The sequence below is a fragment of the Homo sapiens genome, chromosome 21 (genome assembly GCF_000001405.40).
Source record: "Homo sapiens chromosome 21, GRCh38.p14 Primary Assembly".
Taxonomy (NCBI): Eukaryota; Metazoa; Chordata; class Mammalia; order Primates; family Hominidae; genus Homo; species Homo sapiens.
The window spans coordinates 14,511,879-14,531,537 of record NC_000021.9 but is presented as its reverse complement, the minus strand read 5'-3'; the positions used below and the strand labels follow the sequence as shown (position 1 = coordinate 14,531,537).

General features: G+C 34.6%; 1 protein-coding gene and 1 long non-coding RNA gene across 10 annotated transcripts in view; one reads left to right on the top strand and one right to left on the bottom strand.

The window, feature by feature from the left end:
• Positions 1-19,659, bottom strand: part of LOC124905053 (uncharacterized) — a 61,200-nt gene that overhangs the window by 6,991 nt on the left and 34,550 nt on the right. The window lies entirely within an intron of this gene.
• Positions 1-19,659, top strand: part of SAMSN1 (SAM domain, SH3 domain and nuclear localization signals 1) — a 174,190-nt gene that overhangs the window by 127,880 nt on the left and 26,651 nt on the right. For 5 of the 9 annotated variants that reach the window (NM_001395858.1, NM_001395857.1, NM_001256370.2 and 2 more), the window contains 3 exons: positions 10,317-10,388; positions 14,497-14,646; positions 18,965-19,094. In NM_001395858.1, the coding sequence (NP_001382787.1) occupies positions 10,317-10,388; positions 14,497-14,646; positions 18,965-19,094 (352 nt within the window). Of the gene's footprint in view, positions 1-6,357; positions 6,413-8,143; positions 8,268-10,316; positions 10,389-14,496; positions 14,647-18,964; positions 19,095-19,659 lie in introns of all 9 variants that reach the window. The other 4 variants (NM_001286523.2, XM_011529684.3, XM_047440942.1 and 1 more) reach the window with 4 other exon arrangements.

The following is a 19,659-nucleotide window of genomic DNA, read 5'->3' as shown; positions in this document are numbered from 1 at the left end:
TCATGTTAGATAATAAAAAATTTTTGAGATTTCCTCTCTCTGATTATTGAAAAGAAAAAAAAAAGCTTACATCTAAGATCCTGAAAGAAATTGCTCAATTTAACTTAGCTAATAATGTTACTCTTGGGTTTTCTTTTTTAACTCCTTTGATGATAAAATTGAATAGACATAATTTCTCTTTTATACTTTTAATAGTTTGTCTTTTAGATTAATGACACTATACAAAATACATATGATAAATCTTATTAACAGTACAACAAATAGAAAAATCAGTCACTTATTACAAAAACCAGAATAAATTTGGTATTTAAGTTTATGGTTAATGTAGTAAGGTCTATTGAGATCAATATTCGAAGTTATTCTTCTCTTAACTAATAGTTGCTTTTTTAAACCATCATCTTCAATATTACCTTTTGTCTATTTGCCATATCCTATACAGCAGTATTATTTAGGCAGAATTATTTATTTGTAGAATTATTTGTTTTTGTTTAGTTATAGAATTAAAATAGTTGAAAATGATGTGACTAGTTAAAATATTATTTAATATTCTATAATAAATAGAAAAATAAAATATGCATAGAAAAGACAGTTAATTTCCAAACTTATGGAAGAATAATGTATATTTTTTGTAAATTGAAAATTTCAGTCATCCATCTTTTGAATTGCCCTCCCTGTATCAAGGTACCTAGATAACAAAATTAGTAATGCAAAATTTGCTCAGGGAAATAATTTGAGTAGAGGTGGCAAATGCAGTTCCTCTCTTCTTCCCCTAAACACCCACTATCTTCTGTAACCACTGTGGACACAGTTAATCATGACTTTTTAACTCTGAAAATGGCTTTAGAACGCTTCTCAACACAGCTCTTCATGAAACATCGACCAACTATCCATGCTGGTGCATGAGTTGAAAACTTTTTGTCAGTTTTAGTTTCAAGAGATAGTTCATCCAGACAATGAAAAATCCCAGTGAAATATCCCTATAACAAATAAAAAATATTTTTATAGTGACCTAAATGATTATGTTTACTAGAGACAGTATTTATTTCTCTCCTATGAAAGTTTGGGAGAGAATTATATTAGATACTAGACACATTTTTTATCATCCAGTGATCCATCTTATACATAGCATATGTTCCACTACCTTTCTTACTTATCATAACTTTAGCAATCACAATCTTCGGATTTGGTGATTATTTCTTTCTTTTTTTTTTTTTTTTTTTTGAGACGGAGTCTCGCTCTGTTGCCCAGGCTGGAGCGCATTGGCTCAATCTCGGCTCACTGCAAGCTCCGCCTCCCAGGTTCACGCCATTCTCCTGCCTCAGCCTCCCAAGTAGCTGGGACTACAGGCACCCGCCACCACGCCCGGCTAATTTTTTTGTATTTTTAGTAGGGATGGGGTTTCACCGTATTAGCCAGGGTGGTCTGGATCTCCTGACCTCGTGATCCGCCTGCCTTGGCCTCCCAAAGTGCTGGGATTGCAGGCGTGAGCCACTGCGCCCGGCCAGATTTGGTGATTATTTCTAAAGAGCCTCTTGTTTAACAATTATACAAATCTACTAATTTTTGAAAATGGTTAAGTGAATTCAAATTATATTGATTCCAGCTAATTTTACTCCCAAAATCTGTGATTATTTTAGTGTATCATTCTGTAGACAAACTATAAATTAAGTAGGTATAGGCATAGACACATAAAATGCCTTTCAGGTACTAAGTAGTCAATACAAATGAGTATTTGTAAATGAATGAATGCAGATTTCCAAGTTGACATCTACTATACATTTTAACTTCTTTTATTTTGTATATGAATATAACCTGCTTATAGGAATTGATTCTATATTTGTGTATCTTTCATTTGAACAGGATTCTATTTAGCTCTTATGGTTTGGAATGATTTGGTCCATGGTACTAATATAGTATACATTTCTCTCACGGTTGATTCTTATTTATTCATACCGACAGCCCTTACTCTGAGTACTAAGTTGAGCCATAGAAGCCACTTAGTGTATTTATGTTAAATTACATGATGCAAACCCTTATGGTCTTTAAACATCAACAAATTATTGTCATTAGTTGCAACATGATTAAGTTCTAATTTATTTTTGTGTAACTGTGAGATGTAAGATTTTTGACATTTAACTTGAAGAGTAATGTGGGATCTGTCATTTGCCATGGTTTTGCCCAAGTCTCACGACTGTAGGATTTTTATCCATTGGAGATACAGCATGTAATAACAGCAATCAATATGCACTAAAACGTTCACTAAATGGCATCGGAAAAGGGTTTCCTAAGGGAGGTGAGACTTAATCCTGCCCTCGAAGAATGGGCTGGGTTTGAGTAGGTGGAATAAAAGAAGACCAATATTCCTTGAATAAAAAACAGTAGGAGCAAAAGCTTAGAGATATAAATGAGTTCGTCCACAGTGGCCAGCAAGAAGTGTTAGAAATTCTGCTAAATCAGATTGACTAGCATTACCCATTACCATACAGAATCACACATGCACTGAATGCTGAGTATGAGCTTTATTTTGTTGACTGAGGAAAAACTATTTAAACACTCTGAGCCTCAGTTCTCATCATCTGTGAATTGGAGAAGTTAATGCCTAACTCAGAGGGGGATTGTGTTTATCTAATGAAATAATTACGGATAAATAGCATGGCATGGAGTTTGGCAGATGGAAAGCTCTCGGTAACGGTCATGGCAATGTGGAGCAAGCTTTACATTTTGGAAAGAAGAATGAGATGATGAGACATGGTACTTTAGATGATTAGAGGGGCAAGAATTTGGGGACAAATAATCTGAAAGTTGTTGCATTGGTTCAGGAATTAGCACACACTTGAGTAAAAGTAATGAAAAAAATACCTTCAATAAAGTTTGGAGAAATAATTGGACATATGTACAGGCTGGGAGAATGTGCATTTGTGGTGTGTTACATTTTACATTAAGTGTCCAAACTCTCCAAAGACAGCAATGAGCAAATACCATTTTCCAATGGGGCTGGTAAAGTTTCAGAGGTTGGGCCAAAACAGATCCTCAGGGGAGCAGGACATAAGCACAGAGCCTTTTTTTAGTACATCTGCCTTGCAGCCCAGAGGCAGGCAGAGGGTGCCTTATGGGCTGGGGCAGGCATAAAACTGGGTTCCCTGGGGAAATTCTTGAGAATTTTAAGGAAGTGTTGGCATAATGAAAGAATTCCAGGAGGACCAAGAAGTACCATTTATTTATTTTAGTATTTATTTTAGTGGTACTTATTTATGGGCTTATTAGTTAGAGAAGAAGAGAAAGAAGGAATAGAAAGTGCACAATAACATAATTTTATAGGAGTGAGTAGGCCAAGCAGAAGTTTCACAATAGGGAAAACAAATTGAGCAGTTCACGATAGTGTCATCATGGGCACATTTTCTAAAGCTTTTCATTTCCTTTTTAATAGTTTTTTAAAGAATTGATTATACCAATTCTTCGGCCATCTTATGCTTTCTACCTGAAAAAGCAATATTTAAAACATGTAACAGTATTATTTAATTTTAATATTTAAAACATATCAAAATATTATTTAAGAACTCCTTTCAAGTAAAATAGAATATCATAATTTCTATTCATTTCCCAGAAGTGTAGCATGACTTACAGTCTATGGATACAATGTAAATAATAAGAATGAGATATTGTTGTACATTTGGGTCTTTTTTACTCATCAGACTTGTTGCATAAAATAAGCTGGTATGAATAACCACTTTTAGAGGTTATGGATCATTCTGCATTTTTTTTTTTTTTTTTTTTTTTAGTTCTAGTTTCTTTCCTTCAGGTAATCTTGGAGATGGTTTCAATTTGCAGAAAGCATTTCTAGTGTCACAGCAACTTCTGAAAGCAAATCTTTAGCATGGAAATTTTGACAAAACATTGTAAAACCGTGGTGGAATCAGAATCTGCACTTCTTGAAGCTATTTTGCAGTTGATAGAAAAGTTACTGAACCAGAGAGATAGAATAGACCAGCTTTTGTTCTTAGAGTCCAGATGTACGTTGAAAATATTTAAAGCATTGGTATATGTTTGAGCTTTGGGTTGCCTTTATCCCTGGATAAAACGTGAGTGTCGAAGACGAGGCTTTACAGCTCTAGTTGTCTTTTAGCCGTCAGTTTCCTGACACCCCACAGAAGTGTATTCCACTGGTACCACGTGACACTGAGGCAATTCTAACTGATTATTTTAAGAGAGTTAAATTTGTTTCACCTCTTCAAAAGATCTGAGTACCCGAGTTAGTTAGAACAATTAAATCCTCGAGTGTCTTTGGATAAAGGCTGACAAGCTTATTGAGATTCAGCTTTTATTATAGTAGAATATTCATATAAGGATGTGCTGAAACAGAATTCTGATCTTTGAGTACATTACTAACCAACGTTCTTTGTGCAATATTTAAAAGAGCTGAGAACTTGTTGGGAGAGTGTGTGTAATTTTTAATTTGCCAGTATATTTCAAAGTACTGCAGATGTGTGCCTCACAAATGCAAATCTTTTCTTTGAAATAGACTGTGAAACTTTTCCACCAGCACCTTACCCAAATATTAAGTCATGCTGGAGATGAGATTTCATCTGAAGACTCCCAAAGTTAGTGGTTGGCTAAGAAAGAAAATGAGGGTCAAGTTCTTCTGGTTTTGATCACAAGTTTGATTCAGATTTCTACATAGAGACCCTGTAATTTTCATTCATGTTCATAAATGCAGGCTGGTCAGTATTCTAGGAAACCGAGTTAGTTTCATTCTTTCTATCAAACTAACTTTGCCGTAATTTTTATTCTGCTCAGAAAGCAAGCCTCTTGGGAAGAAGACAGGATCTAGATTCTGTAATGGAATGGCATAGGGGAGAGTATATCAGAGTGGAGAATTTTTTAAAAAGAAATTTTTTGCAAGTTCTGGTTTCAACAGTTTCCTTATTGAGAAGAGCTAGACGATAACTAAGAACACTGCCAGCTTTATATCATGAAACAGTATTCTGTAATAATTAAGATTGTTTTGCAAAACTGGAGAGGTACTAATAAAAAAAGAATCGCCTTAAGTTCTTTTATATTACTCATTAGATTGCATAGAAACACACATACACAAATGTGTTCAAACACCCCAGCTGACCCTGGTTCTGTACTATTTTTGGGTAAGCCAAGTGGACTGTGTGGAAGAAGGTTAACTGCACGATGTGATTGCAGATAGTCTTGAAAACAGCAATCCAAGGGCACATATTTATATCAGAAAAGTTAGATGTATTAAAATGAATTTAGGAAACGCAAGTTTATTTTGTTCCCTTTCTGTACTTCCAAACAACCATGACCTAAACCATATTATGATTGTTTTTAAACAAATTGATTCCTTATTAAAGTTATGAAACTGGCTGGGCATGGCAGCTCACACCTGTAATCCCAGCACTTTGGGAGGCCAAGGCGGGCGAATTGCCTGAGGTCAGGAGTTCAACATCAGCCTGGCTAACACGGTCAAACCCTGTCTCTACTAAAAATACAAAAAAATTAGCTGGGCGTGGGGGTGCAAGCCTGTAATCCCAGCTACTCGGGGGGGCTGAGGCAGGAGAATCGCTTCAATCCAGGAGGTGAAGTTTGCAGTGAGCCGAGATGGAGCCACTGCACTCCAGCCTGCATAACAGAGGGAGACTCGGTCTCAAAATAAGTAAATAAATAAATAAAGTTATGAGACCACTAACTTTTATAAATAATTTTAGCTATTATATAGAAATATTTCTTTTGATAACTCAACAATTTATTATGGAACATTTTAAATATATGTAAAATTAGAGAGTAGTAAAATCTACCCCCATATAGCCACCATCCAGCTAATGATTCAAGAATGGCCAATTGTGTTTCTTCCTCATAGCCGCACATTTGCTGCTCCTCGCTAGATTATTTCAAATTGTATATAAGAGAGTAACATTACTTCCTTAACATCAAATAGCTAGTCATTTAAAAAATTTACCCAGTTGTCTTTTGATGTTTTTGGTATAGTGGTTTATTTGATCTATATTTAAACAAGATTCATGGATTATACTTGGATAATATGTTTCTGAAGTCTCTCAGTTTATACTTTAACTCTTTCTTAAAATTTTTTTATATTGATTTGCTGAAGAAGCTGGGTTGTTTTGCTCTGTATTTTCTTGTCTGTATTTTTTCCGACTGACTGTATCTTCTTGGTAACATTTAACATGCTCTTCTGTCTCTTTTTTTCCTTAAATGTGGTAGCTAGATACAGAGCTTGGTGTGATTGCTTTCTTGCTTCCTTTCTTTCTTATAAACAATATCTCATTAGTTGTATTTAATGCTTCCATCACAAAGCACATATTCTGGTTATCTCCTTTTGTGTGATTTTAGTGGCCATTGATGATCATTGCCTGGATCCAACATTGCATTAGGGGTTTGCAAAATGGTAATCTTATTATTTCATCATTTTTAATTGATTAGCTGAAGTATGAACATATACAGAACAATTTCCCCTCATCAACTATTTAGTTGATGAACTATTTAGTTGATGAAATAGGTTTCATACAGGAAAGGCAGATTAAATGTCTAAGTTGTCCCTTTATTTGTTAGTTTTCAGAATATAATTATAACATTTCCCAATGTAACTGATGCATTTTTCTTTTTAGTATCCTTATGAACTCATGAATTTTGACATTAGATGTATTTCAATATATTGCACTTTTCTCCATTTTACTTTTTCTCCTTACACTGTATGCTAGAGGTTATTCTGTTGCATATAAAAAGATGTATTTAATTTTTTACAGCTTCATACATTTGCATTGTGTGGATGTACCATATATTATTCAATCAGTATCCTCTTGATGAACATTAGGCTTTACAGCTTTTTGATAATATAAAAGTGCTACAGTGAATATGGAAATGTAAACAATTCATATACAAATGTATTGCTGATAAAGACATCTAGAAATGGAATTCTTGGGACAAAGGGCAAATGTATATGTAATTTTGCTAGATATTGCCAAATTTCCCTTTATAGGTATTGTGCCATTTTACAAATGCATTTCTAATTGCATAAGGAAAGACTGGAAACATTCGTGTAGAGTATAAAGACTAAATATGATCTAAAGTCAACAGACACAAAGAATTATCTAAAATATATATAGCATTTTTATTTAAGCTCATCTTCTTTTTGACACTGCTTATTTATATAATAACTCTGTCTTGATAAGAACTTCTGTCATAAGATAATATTTACTAAGTCTAATACATTACAATTATATAAACAACATTATCAATATTCAAACACATTCTCATTTATTAAGTACTATTATTTAGGAAGCAAGCTTTGTTTCCATATAATTCACCTTGTTATCATAAAACTTTACAAGAACAGAAGTCATAAATGTGTTCATTGTCCAGACCTCATAGTAGACATTAGTCCTTTTTTGTCATAAGCCATAATCTATACATCATAAAACCATCTGAGAAAGTTAGTTACTAACTTTTAAACTAGAGAATAATGAACAAATATAAATGTTCTTTTAAATATTTAGATTTTCTTCTTAAGGGTGTCTTAACATGGATTGATATACTCCTATGGCATAAAGCTATTGAGTAATTAGTGATGAGATGACTGACAAAACCCAAAGTAATAGTCCAGTGTCCTTCTTAAACCACGACTCCTAAATCTGCTTTTCTTTATTGATATAATGAGGGGAGAATTAATTTTAAAAGGTGGTGGCTATTGATTACTTAATGGAAGAAGATAGTGTAGCAAAATGCTGAAACGAGTCTATTCTGTGCCCTCCTGTGCAACAGGACCCATTATCCCATTGTGGAAATCGCACCCTTACTCTCATTAATATTTAACAGGCTATATATAGGCTACAAAATTGCCTTGGGCATGGGCTCCAATCAGCCATAGAATGGTTTCAAGTATATAAAAGAGTAATAGATTTCTGTGTGTTCAGATTGTTTATAAGCAGGACAACAATACGCTCAATTCCCTTCTGTGATTGCTGAGCAATGACAGCCAGATGGAAACACCTCCTAGGCAAGTTGGAGTGATTCATATTCTGGGAAGCCACTGTAGGCTAGTAAGTACTACATAAGAAGAGTTTGTATTTTCCAGTGTGGTTCTCAGTTTCAGCTTTCGTTTCTGCTCCTCTCACCACAGGCTGAAGGGCTCGTCCAGCCGGGGTGGCAAGTCAGCAAAAGGCGTTAATTGTGTCTAACACAGCTATCATCCTTGGGGCAATATTCTGTATCACACTGTCTATCAAGCTAACCCCTTGCCAGAGGTCAGGATCTTTTTATTTCAGTTCTTTTAAAAGGGAAACAAAAATCTTTAAAGATAGCTGGTAGGGAGACATAAGAGCTTCTAGGGACTAGGAGCCCTTGAAGTTGCCTTGTACTAAAATGGGCTGTGATTTCTGAAAGGACAATATAGCAGGTCCTCCAAAAACAGTTTTCTCCAACATCATTTTGTTATAATAATATTGATGGAGAAAAAAAAATCAGTTCCTGACCAGGGTCACTGTCTGTGCAGGGTTTGCACAATCTTCTCATTTATGTGTGGGTTTCCCCCCACATCCCAAAGAAGTGCATTCCAGGTCAATTGGCATTGGCGTGTCCAAATTGTTCCACAATGAGGAGTGTGGATGTGTGCTTCAGTGTGCCCTGCGTTGGAGCAGCACCCTGTCCAGGGCTGGTTCCTGCCTTGTGCCCTGAGTTGTGGGGATAGGCTCTGGCCACTCACAGCAACCCTGAGCTGGAATAACTGGGAAAATAATTATGTTAATTTTTTAAATTAATTTTTCTTAAATATATGTATGGATCGCATTTGTTTCAGTGTTTACCATTAGAAGTGTTTGGGTCTTTATTTAGAAATTTGATGATGTTTTTGTGATGAAAAGTAGATCACAGGAACTTGTTATTTGAACTTGTGATTTCAAGTAGCCTATGGTAAAGTGGATTTTGTTACACCTGGTTTTGCTTAAGGTAGCAATTTCCGAGATCCCATTGAGAGCATTAAGGGAGGCCTTGTTGTACAAAGTTTTATAGATTACTGACTCCCATTATTAATTTTCTAAATTACCAGATTATATGTCAGTACCACCAGTTTGTTTTTAAAATATGATAAACTTGAAATAAGATAAAGTCCTTTAGAAAGAAAATAGTCTCGGGATTTATGAGTACACAAAGAACCCAACATCAGATATCCACCATCCCAAACAATGCATAAAATTAGATAGTGAGGAAATATCAATTTTTTGACTCAATGACTCAAAAGAATTTTAAAATATGTTTAAGGGATTCATTTATTTTGTTGCATATCAGAAATTATTTATAATTGCCTGCCTACATTGAGTTGCATAATAAAAATGTAGCTTTGTAAGCAAAAGGTATTCAAGACAACATCTTCTATTAACATACTGAGCTTTTTCTCAAAACCAGTGAATGAAACTGACCCAGAGATCTCATTGTAATTCTATGTTAAATGTGGAAAAATTCCATTTTACTCCCAACCTTGGACTGTGCATACCTAAATGCTGCTTTCAATTTATTAGTAAGTCTGTGTGTGTGCCTTCTTTTTCTGATACCCAGCAGAGAACTTCAAATGATCAAGAGTTGGTAATAGAAAATGCACTTATGTTCTTTTTTTTTTTTTAAACAAACTTGGTCTTTTATTTTCATTTTTATTTTAATTTTCGGGGTACATGTACAGGATGTACAGGTTTGTTACATAAGTAAACATGTGCCATGGTGTTTTGCTGCACCTGTCAACCCATCACCTAGGTATTAAGCCCATCATGCATTAGCTATTTTTCCTGATGCTCTCCGTCTCCCTGCCCTCCACCCCACAGGCCCCAGCGTGTGAACAAACTTGATCTTTGTGAGGCGTAATGGTGGATCTACTCAGATGCTTGCTTTTTGTTTGTGTTTTGTTGTTGTTATTTGTTTGTTGGTTGGTTGGTTAGTACTACATGCTGTTAAGTTTGTGGTTAGCTCATTTCAAGAAGCTTTAGTTTGGAATTCAAGGATTCTTCAGCTGCCACTTCAAAGAGCAAAATTAAAATAAAAAATTTAAAATAATTTAACCAAGATTTTCTCCAAGGTGCTTACTTAACGCTATGACAAAAAGCGTAGAAAGACATTTGATCAACTGTAAATATAAAAATGTTAATAGGTATACCTTCACAGCCTTTGGATATTCCAGAGAGAAGAGCTTTTTAAAGCCTGTATTTGCAAGAGACGGTGCTTATTAAACTATAATCTAATATACTTATCAGTTTGGACAGTGAAAATAAATTCTAAGTTTCCTTTGCTTTTTCTTTTCTATTTTATAGCGAAGCAGCAGTTTTGGGAATTTCGATCGTTTTCGGAATAATTCTTTATCAAAACCAGATGATTCAACTGAGGTTCGTAGTTTATTCCATTTTTATGAATGTTATGCAAACACATTATGAAATATTATGAAGACAATGTCACTTTTGCAAAGTAAAATAAGAAAAATGAATACATTTTAAAATTATAGCCTTGCATATGTTTTTGTGATAAATGAACAAACCATTATTTAGTACTGTTGTGGAAAGCAATGGGTTCTTGTCACACGACCAGGAAAATTTAGGCACACAGACACATTGTAGGGTGAGTAGGGCAGGGTATATCGGGTGAAAAGGAAAAAAAAAAAGAGGAACTCTCAACAAAGCAAGAGTCCTGCTAGCAGGCTCCTACCTTACAGATTGAATCCCAGGCTACCACATAACAACAAAAGAGGCCAGGCTCCTCCCTGCAGCAAACCACACGACCTTCCCATAGCTCCGTCCCCTTCCCCCAGTGCACAGGTGGGCATTATTAAGAGAGAATCAGTTGGGAAAGGGTGGGCTTCATCCAGGATCATCAGTCTGGTTTTTCAGCCTTCAAGCTGTTTTAGGCTCGAAGGGGAGGTTTCGCAAGGGACCGTTGGCTGTTTCCTGTCTCTATCAGTACCCAGTACCGTGCAGGGCATTAAAAGTAAAATCTTATTTTAAGAAGCCTAACAGATGTTTGGGAAAGCAAAACATGAACCCGAAAAGATAGAATTCAAACTGACACTGACAATTCCAAATTTCCTGAGTATTTCTACTATAAAACAATGTGAGTATACATATATGTACACATACACATACATTGTATTTATACACATTATTTGATAGATATATATAAAATGTTATGTAAGTTGTAATTGCTTTAAATTAGAACAAGATTAAGTGGCCCAACTGTAAATTTGTTAAGGAGAGCATACAGCTGCTCAATTGGACTCTCACACTTCAATGTACACTGAAACATCCCATTGGTGAGTGCTACATACACATTTGTACACTATGAACATTTTAACCGTAGCTTAAGAAAAGCTTCCCATAAAATAAAGTTTACGTAATAATTTCAATAATATGTTCATTTAGTTGAGCACTCACGATGAAATAAGCACAATGCTAACTTTATCTATCTATAACAATTTACCTATTTATAACATAGGAACTATTAGTATATCTATTTTGCCATTGCAGAAATATGCTTGCTTCATCAAATAAAATTACTTCTAAATTACAGAGTGAGTAAATGACAAAGGCAGAAATCAACCTTTTCTCTGACTCCAAAGTTTGCCATATTATCTCATAAAGTAGGGGCCACATATGCTAAGTGGTTAATGACAGGTACAACAACAACTAATAAAATAGTACAGAGAAGGGGTGTCTACTAAGAAAACTGAAAATACTGTTTACCATTGAACCTGATTCAGCAACCTTACAGGTAATATATTCTTTTTAGATCAATAGGTTTTTAGATCAATAGGTTTTTAGATCCTATGCTTATTTTCAAATATAACTATCTGTAATATTTTAAAATAATTTAATTTCAGTAATGATCCCTTTTATTAATTTATTATGTATATATTCACATTTATGAGTAAACTTGTACATAATTGTATAGTCAATCAACATTTACATAATTGTAAGTAATAAATGTAATATATACATATAAATCTCCCCCTGGCCACATATATGTGTTTGTGTGTGTGTGTGTATATATATGGAGAGAGAGAGAAACTGTATATAATTTTATTTTCAGTTGGCATTTTGTATAAATTTTTAATTCTCCACAATCATACATATATTCTACTGCTATTTAGTTTATAATTCTGGAATTAACCTGTACAAGATAGCTCATGTTCATTCAGGTTCATTGGTTAATAATGGTGGCCTAGTAATTTGTAAAAGAATTTAGCAAACCTAATAAAATAGTGTGCATATTTTTCAACAATCCAGCACTCATTCAAAAAATAACTACTCTATGACAGGTTTTCCCTTAGACACTCAGGAAGTACTGTTGCAACAACACATGAAAATCCTTACTTCATGCCTGGAGTCTATAGGGGAAGACAAATCTTAAAAAGACAAGAACAAAACCATAAGTAATATTTAAATAGAAATTTAATTCAGGCTATGGAGAAAGGCATAGAAAAATGTTAACACTCAAAAGACATAAACATAATTTCTTTGTAGCTTCTGTAAATAACGCTAGAAAAACCTGAAAAATATGTGTGGTACATTTTTCTGAAGCTTAGAAATGGTAGAGTAACACAAGTAGTAATTAACATTTCTTATTTATGTTAGCAAAGTAATTTTATAATGAAGACAGAGAAAGTTTAAGTAGAGAGAAGAAAAAGGCTAACTCTAAAATTTTAAAGTGCTTCCGAATTAAATTTTATTCAGGACTTTTGAATTAAGCAAAGAATCTTTGCCTTGATTTCAACCTTGAATGTAGAAATTAATAAAGTGCAATGAGGGTTTAAATTGGCTGTCCATTCATATTTATCATAGGCAATTTGGGGTAAGATATGAAGCAAAATATAATATTGATTAATAATGATGTTAACTATGTGGTTAAACTTTTATATTAAAATATTCAAGTTCACTAAAGAGAAGTTTCCCATCATTTTTTATATTCAGTGAATGACTACCTGTCCACCTACCAGTAATGGTGGGCAGTGTTAAACTAGATGTCCTTCAAGTTTCCTTTCTTGCAAATATAAGGTATTTTAGGACGTGTAACCCAAACATGTCCTCCAAGAAAAAAAAATCTGCAACGTTCTACATGAGAAGTTTCATTTATTCAAATAATATCAAGTGCCAGCTCTGTGCTTGGAAGTACTCTAGACACTCAAAGAAAACAGACAAAGTCTCAAGTCTCATGGAGCATGCATCATAGTGGGAGACGCAGACAATAATCAAATGAACAAACATATTATCGGGTAATGTTAACTGCTTAGAGGAATAATTAATCAGGGCCAATAAACAGGATGTATGGAAGTGTGGAGGGTGATCAATCAGAAAATTACTCTCCTATTATATGACATGTGAATAGAAACCTGGACGACTGAAGGAAGAAATTCTTGGATATCTGGCGGAAGCCAATGGCAAAAGCAAATACAAACTTGGTGAGAACCTGATAGAGAAACTGCAAGGGGGCTAGCATGGCAATACTTTATTACAGTTGTTTTCAAACTTTAGCGAGTATCAGAATCACTTGAAGAGCTTGCTAAAGCACAAACTGCTCCCAAGTGATGTTAATGCCGCTGGTCCAGGGATCATATTTTGAGAACCACTGATCTAGTGAGCGAGGGAGACTTGAGAAGTAGCGAGGGGCAAGGTGGGTAGTGAGGATATTTTATTTCATATAGATTCTATATAATGTAATATATATCACATAATATATTAATTATATTGACAGAACATTATTTTATGTTATGACATATAGAGTCTTGTGGCTGTGAACAGAGTGTTTTATTCTGAGTCATTGGTTTAACAAAATTCCTAAGCACAGACTGAAGCAGTCCAAATAAGATGTTTGATTAATATAGCATGTGAATTACATGAAGATTTCTGTACTAATGGCTGGAACTAGTTCATATTTACTATTGCTTGCGAATATGGGAAATGTGCACACTAAGATGAAAAAAAATCTAACATTTCTCAGTGGATTTAATTAACACAAAAACTTCTTTAAAATAACCACAATCATCTCAATTTCTATGAGAAGCAAGAGGATATTTTAAGGCCTATTCAACACAGATAGATGCTACAGCCTATCTAAAGCTTCCAATAAAATATTTCTCATCTATGTAGACATAAGAACTCCTTATACCTGGTGTTTAATATTATTTGTTCATCTCAAGAAGAGGGAATAAAATGATTCTTCAATACAGCTATTTAAAAAATAGTCAAAATTCTCTAAAAGAGTTGCAGATGTGAGGCTCAAGTCCTTTAACATCACGAATTTTACTTTCTGAGTTCGTAACACAAGCAACCAGGGCTGGACAACTTTAAAAATATGTGTTATGTCCGGATTGTTAGAAATTTTGGAGGCTGCTGCACAGAATGCATGCAAAATCCACAAACTCAGAATGTTCTCTGTAACAGTGATTTCAGATCAATGTTTTTTATTGCTTTATTATTTTGTCTTTTGTAAACAATTCTAAACTAGGCACATGAAGGAGATCCCACAAATGGAAGTGGAGAACAAAGTAAAACTTCAAATAATGGAGGCGGTTTGGGTAAAAAAATGAGAGCTATTTCATGGACAATGAAGAAAAAAGTGGGTAAAAAGTACATCAAAGCCCTTTCTGAGGAAAAGGTAAATATTCTCTGATAATCATTTGTATTTTTCTACTAAAACTTTCTTAAACTATTCAGCTAGACTATAGAAGTGCTTGGTACTTTATGAAGTACTTAAGCATTTGTTTTCTTCCTCAGTCATTATGCCCAGAACTTGGGTGGAAGGAAGTATTACTTTCATTTTAACAGAAGAAACTGACACTCAGAAAGATCATGCATCTGCTGGGTGCAGTGGCTCACACCTGTAATCCGAGCACTTTGGAGGCCGTGGCGGGAAGATCACCTGAAGTCAGGAGTTCAAGACCAGCCTGGCCAACATGGTGAAACCCCGTCTCTACTAAAAATACAAAAATTAGCTGAGCATGGTGGTGCACGCCTGTAGTCCTAGCTACTCAGGAGGCTGAGGAAGGAGAATCGCTTGAACCCGGGAGGCGGGGGTTCCAGTGAGCCCTGATTGCACCACTGAACTTCAGCCTGGCAACAGAGCAAGATGGCGTCTCAAAAAACAAAACAAAAAAAAAGATCATGCATCTAGAATGTGATGCGAAGAACAATGTGAAGAACAACATGTCATTAATTTAGTAGCAAGTATCAGTACTTCATTCCTTTTTATTGCCAAATAATATTTCTCCTTTTATAGATGGATCACATTTACTTTATCCATTTATCACTTAGTGATTACTTGGGTTGCTTTCACTTTTTGGCTATTATGAATAATGCTGCTACAGATACTTCTGTTCAATTTTTGTGTGGAAATATTTTTTCATTTCTCTTGGATATATAGTAACTCCATGTCTAATAGAGAAACTGGCAAATTGTTTTTTTAAGCAGGTGTGTCATTTGACATTCCCATCAACAATGTATGAGGGTTCCAATTTCTCTGCATCATTGCCAACACTTGTTATTGTCTGTCTTTTTAATACTAGCCATCCTAGTGGATGTGAGGTGGAATCTCATTGTGATTTTGATTTACATTTGGTTGTACTTTACGTTTCCCTGATGACTAATAATGTCAAGAATCTTTTCATGTGCTTTTTAGCCATTTATCTATCTTTGTGGAGAAGTGTTTTTCAAATCCATTGTTCGTTTTTAATTGGGTTATTTATCTTCTTATTGTTGAGTTTTAAATGTTTTTTATATATTCTGGATGCAAGTTTTTTATCAGATATATGACATGCAATATAATATATTTTCTCCAATTCTGTGGATTGTATTTTTATTTTCTTGATGGTGTTGTTTGTAGCACAAATGTTCCTAATTTTATTGTAGTCCAATTATCTTTTTTTGGTCACTTGTGCTTTTGGTAACATATTTAACAAACCATTGTCTAATCTAATGTAATGAAGATTTATTCCCATGTTTTCTTCTAAGAGGCCAATAGTCTCTTAAATTTTGGTGTATCATTTATTTCAAGATAATTTTACTGTACAGTATATAGGAAGAGTCCACCTTCATTCTTTTGCATGTAGATATATAGTTGTCCTTACACTATTTGTTGAAAAGACTATTCTTTTCCTATTTGATTGTCTCGGTACTCTTGTTAAAAATCAATTGACCATAAATATATTGTCATAAATATATGGATCATAAATAAGTGAGTTTACTTATGGACTCCCAATTCTACTTTATTGATTTTTATGTCTTATGTCCATTCTCTTTTTCAATCCACTTCAACAGGGCTCTGTCTCCAGTACTCCATTAAAATAGCTGTCGCCGTCAGTAGTGACCTCTGTGTTGCCAGGTCCAATGGTCACTTTTCTTTCTCCTTACTACTTTTCAACTGTATTTGACCCAAGTGCTGATTTCCTTACATATAAAACATCCACTTTTCTTGTTTTTTTTTGACTAGGCATGCTTCTGGCATTTCTTCTTCCTCATAGCTTCCTTTCTTGGCTCTGCTTTCTTTCTCATCCCTTGAAACATCTTCCTGAGGCTTGTTCCTGGATGCTCCATTGAATCTACATTCTCCCCTTAAGTCAGCTCATCTACTCTCATGATTTTGTTTTTCACAACTATATCTCTAGCTATGACCTCTTCACTTATCTGCTATATTAATACAATCAATTGCTTATTTGATATCTTCATTTAGATGTCCAGTAGACATCCAAAACCTAATATATCCAAAGCTAATATATTTATTCTCTACACTTTTACAAAAAAAATGGTTTTCTCATCCAGTATTCCCAGTGGCAGCAGACAACACTGATCCCCAAAATAAATAAAAACAAAAATATAAAAAATAGGAAGAAAAGAAAATCTAAGAATCACCCTAAATTCCTTCTTTTTCTCACTTTTCACACTAATTCATCAGTAAATTCTCTGAATTGTATTACCACGTATATATAAACTCCCTAATTTCTCCATGTAAACTATTCCTGCTTTAGACTAAATAACCAACCTTTCTTTCCTGGATTACTATCATAATCCCCTAATTGCTTTCCATTCTTTTTATTCTTTCCCCCATAAAATTTATTCTCCATATGAAAGCCAGAAATATCTCTGACAAGTGGAAATCAGGTCATGGTTAAAATTTCAGTGTCTTCATAGTGAACCTCTTTACTTGGTGTGTTCATTCTAGATCCCAAGAAAAAGAGTAGAAACACCACAGATTTATGACAGGAAATGCTAGGAAGGCTAAAGAGAAAGCCTTTAGACTGCAACGTAAATCTGACATCTGTAAAAGGATGAGGAAAAGGAAGAAGAATCAGGTAGAGAGAGTCTCATACTTCAGCAGAATACTGAGAAAGCTTTGGTCAGATTGATGGAGGATTCTTATACTAAAGTTTTCCATTACAGGAACCCTACATTCCACTAGAATGGGCTCAAACAATACCCCTATTTTTTCAGTTACTGAAAGGGAGCATGGCTTTAGTGCAAATGGAGTGATGGATACAGAGGGGCAGTCCTGGGACTGTCAGTAAAGAAGGGTCCCGCAGCAAGAGATCTAAGTGGCACATTTCCATGGCCACCACACATGGTCTATAAAGCTTTTCTTGATGTGGCTCCAGTCTACTTCCCTGAACTCACACACTAATATTCTCCTTTCTCACACTACATTAGCCTTGCTGTTTTCCCTGCACAACCCAAGATAATTCTGAGTTCAATTATTTTGCTGTTGCTATTCCTTTTGCTTGGAAAACTGTCTCCAAAGCTTCACATAAGTTACATCTTCTTATCCTTTAGGTCAATAATTCAGGGCATATATTACTGTATGGCAGAGGTCTTTGGAGGATACTCCATTTAAATCAGCCAACCCCTAACCCTAACCTCAGCAACAAATTCTCTCACATCACCCAGTTTTATTTCTTTCATAACACTTACTATTCTCTGAAATTGTCTTATTGTGTTTAGACACACCTCCCCAAATACTCTACACAGACACACACACACGCACACACAAACACACACAGCTAACACAATAGAATATCCTTCATTATAGCAAGCACCCTGTTATCTTGTTTACCATGAAAATCCCCAGTTCCAAGAACACTGCTCAGTACCTAGGAGGTGTTCTATAAAATTGTGTTGAATGACTGAATCAAAAAAGAAATGGATAAAAGTGGAGAATCAAACTGAGTGTATATCATTTGTGTATTCTGAAGTTTTATCAATGTTTAGAAATGCTCACAAATAAAGAATGTTGAATTACATTCTGATGAATATTAAGAAATTCATAGGTTTAATCCAAACTATTGAAATATGGAAAACATTGGAGATGTTTTCAAGAAAATATAATTTGTTTTGAAATTGTCTGTCTTTTCTAATTTTATGCAAGATTTGCTTCTCACTTGACTAGGTGGCAAGCATGGTATTAGATTTGTAAAGCTTTTTAGATAAGCTTTGCTTTAGAATTGCAAAATGTACATGTTTTATTCATATCTAGTGATCTGGTAGGATGCAAATAACTGACATGAAACAACTATGCAGAGTTTAAGCTTGTAGGATCAGATCTCAATGGATTAGTAATGGTGGTAAATAGAGCATAAGGACAACATGAAGAAGTAAAAGTGCTTTAAAAGATAAACCATAGATGTCAATAAATCTAACACTTTTGATTAAATAATATTGATATGATATTCATCCTAGTTTGTAAAAATGAGCCATTATAATTTCAACTGAATTTTACAGAAAGAATGTGTCATCTGAGTAATTTTTCCAAGTATATTGTGAAAGGTTTTGCTAGAAATTGAACTGAAGATGAACTACTTTTGTATTTTATCCTTATGTATCCTTAAGTATTTTATTGCTAAAATATGTGTCTATTAAATCAATGTACTCAATGTACATCTCTGTGGAAATCTTCTCTCTGTACCTAACCTCTGATATGTTTTCTGAAGGATGAGGAAGATGGAGAGAATGCCCACCCATATAGAAACAGTGACCCTGTGATTGGGACCCACACAGAGAAGGTGTCCCTCAAAGCCAGTGACTCCATGGATAGTCTCTACAGTGGACAGAGCTCATCAAGTAAGGCTAATGAATCAGGGACAAGATCCTGGGTGTGAGGTCTGGGTTAAATTAATTAAAAAACAACAAGTTAAATCAGCCACAAGGTTCCAGCTACTTGATAAGAGAAATGGTAAAAATGTAAGATATATTAAATCTATATAGAGTTGCTATTGTTTAAATAATACATAATATATTTGACACAGTCATATAGTGTGTGAAAACTTTTAACACTGTAGTCAACGGGGCTCCTCGGGATACTCCTCAAAAAAGCCATATTAGGAGATTAAACCTGCATCTTTAAAATAAACACCTTTGTTGGAGTGAGCCACCTTTATCTTGAGTCAACATATTTCAAAATGACTTGAAGTATTCAGATAAATGAAATTTATTTTCTGCTCCATTCTCTGTCTCTTTCTTTCTCCCTTCCTCTTCCCTGCGTCCCCCTCATTCTTTCTCCCCCGACCACTTTCCTTTTTTCCTGAAGTACTCTGAAAAATGTAGCACATTTGCATCAATTTACTTTTACTGACATTTACTTTTTAGATCTTAACCCAGCATTAATCAGTAAAGAGTGAAGCAATAT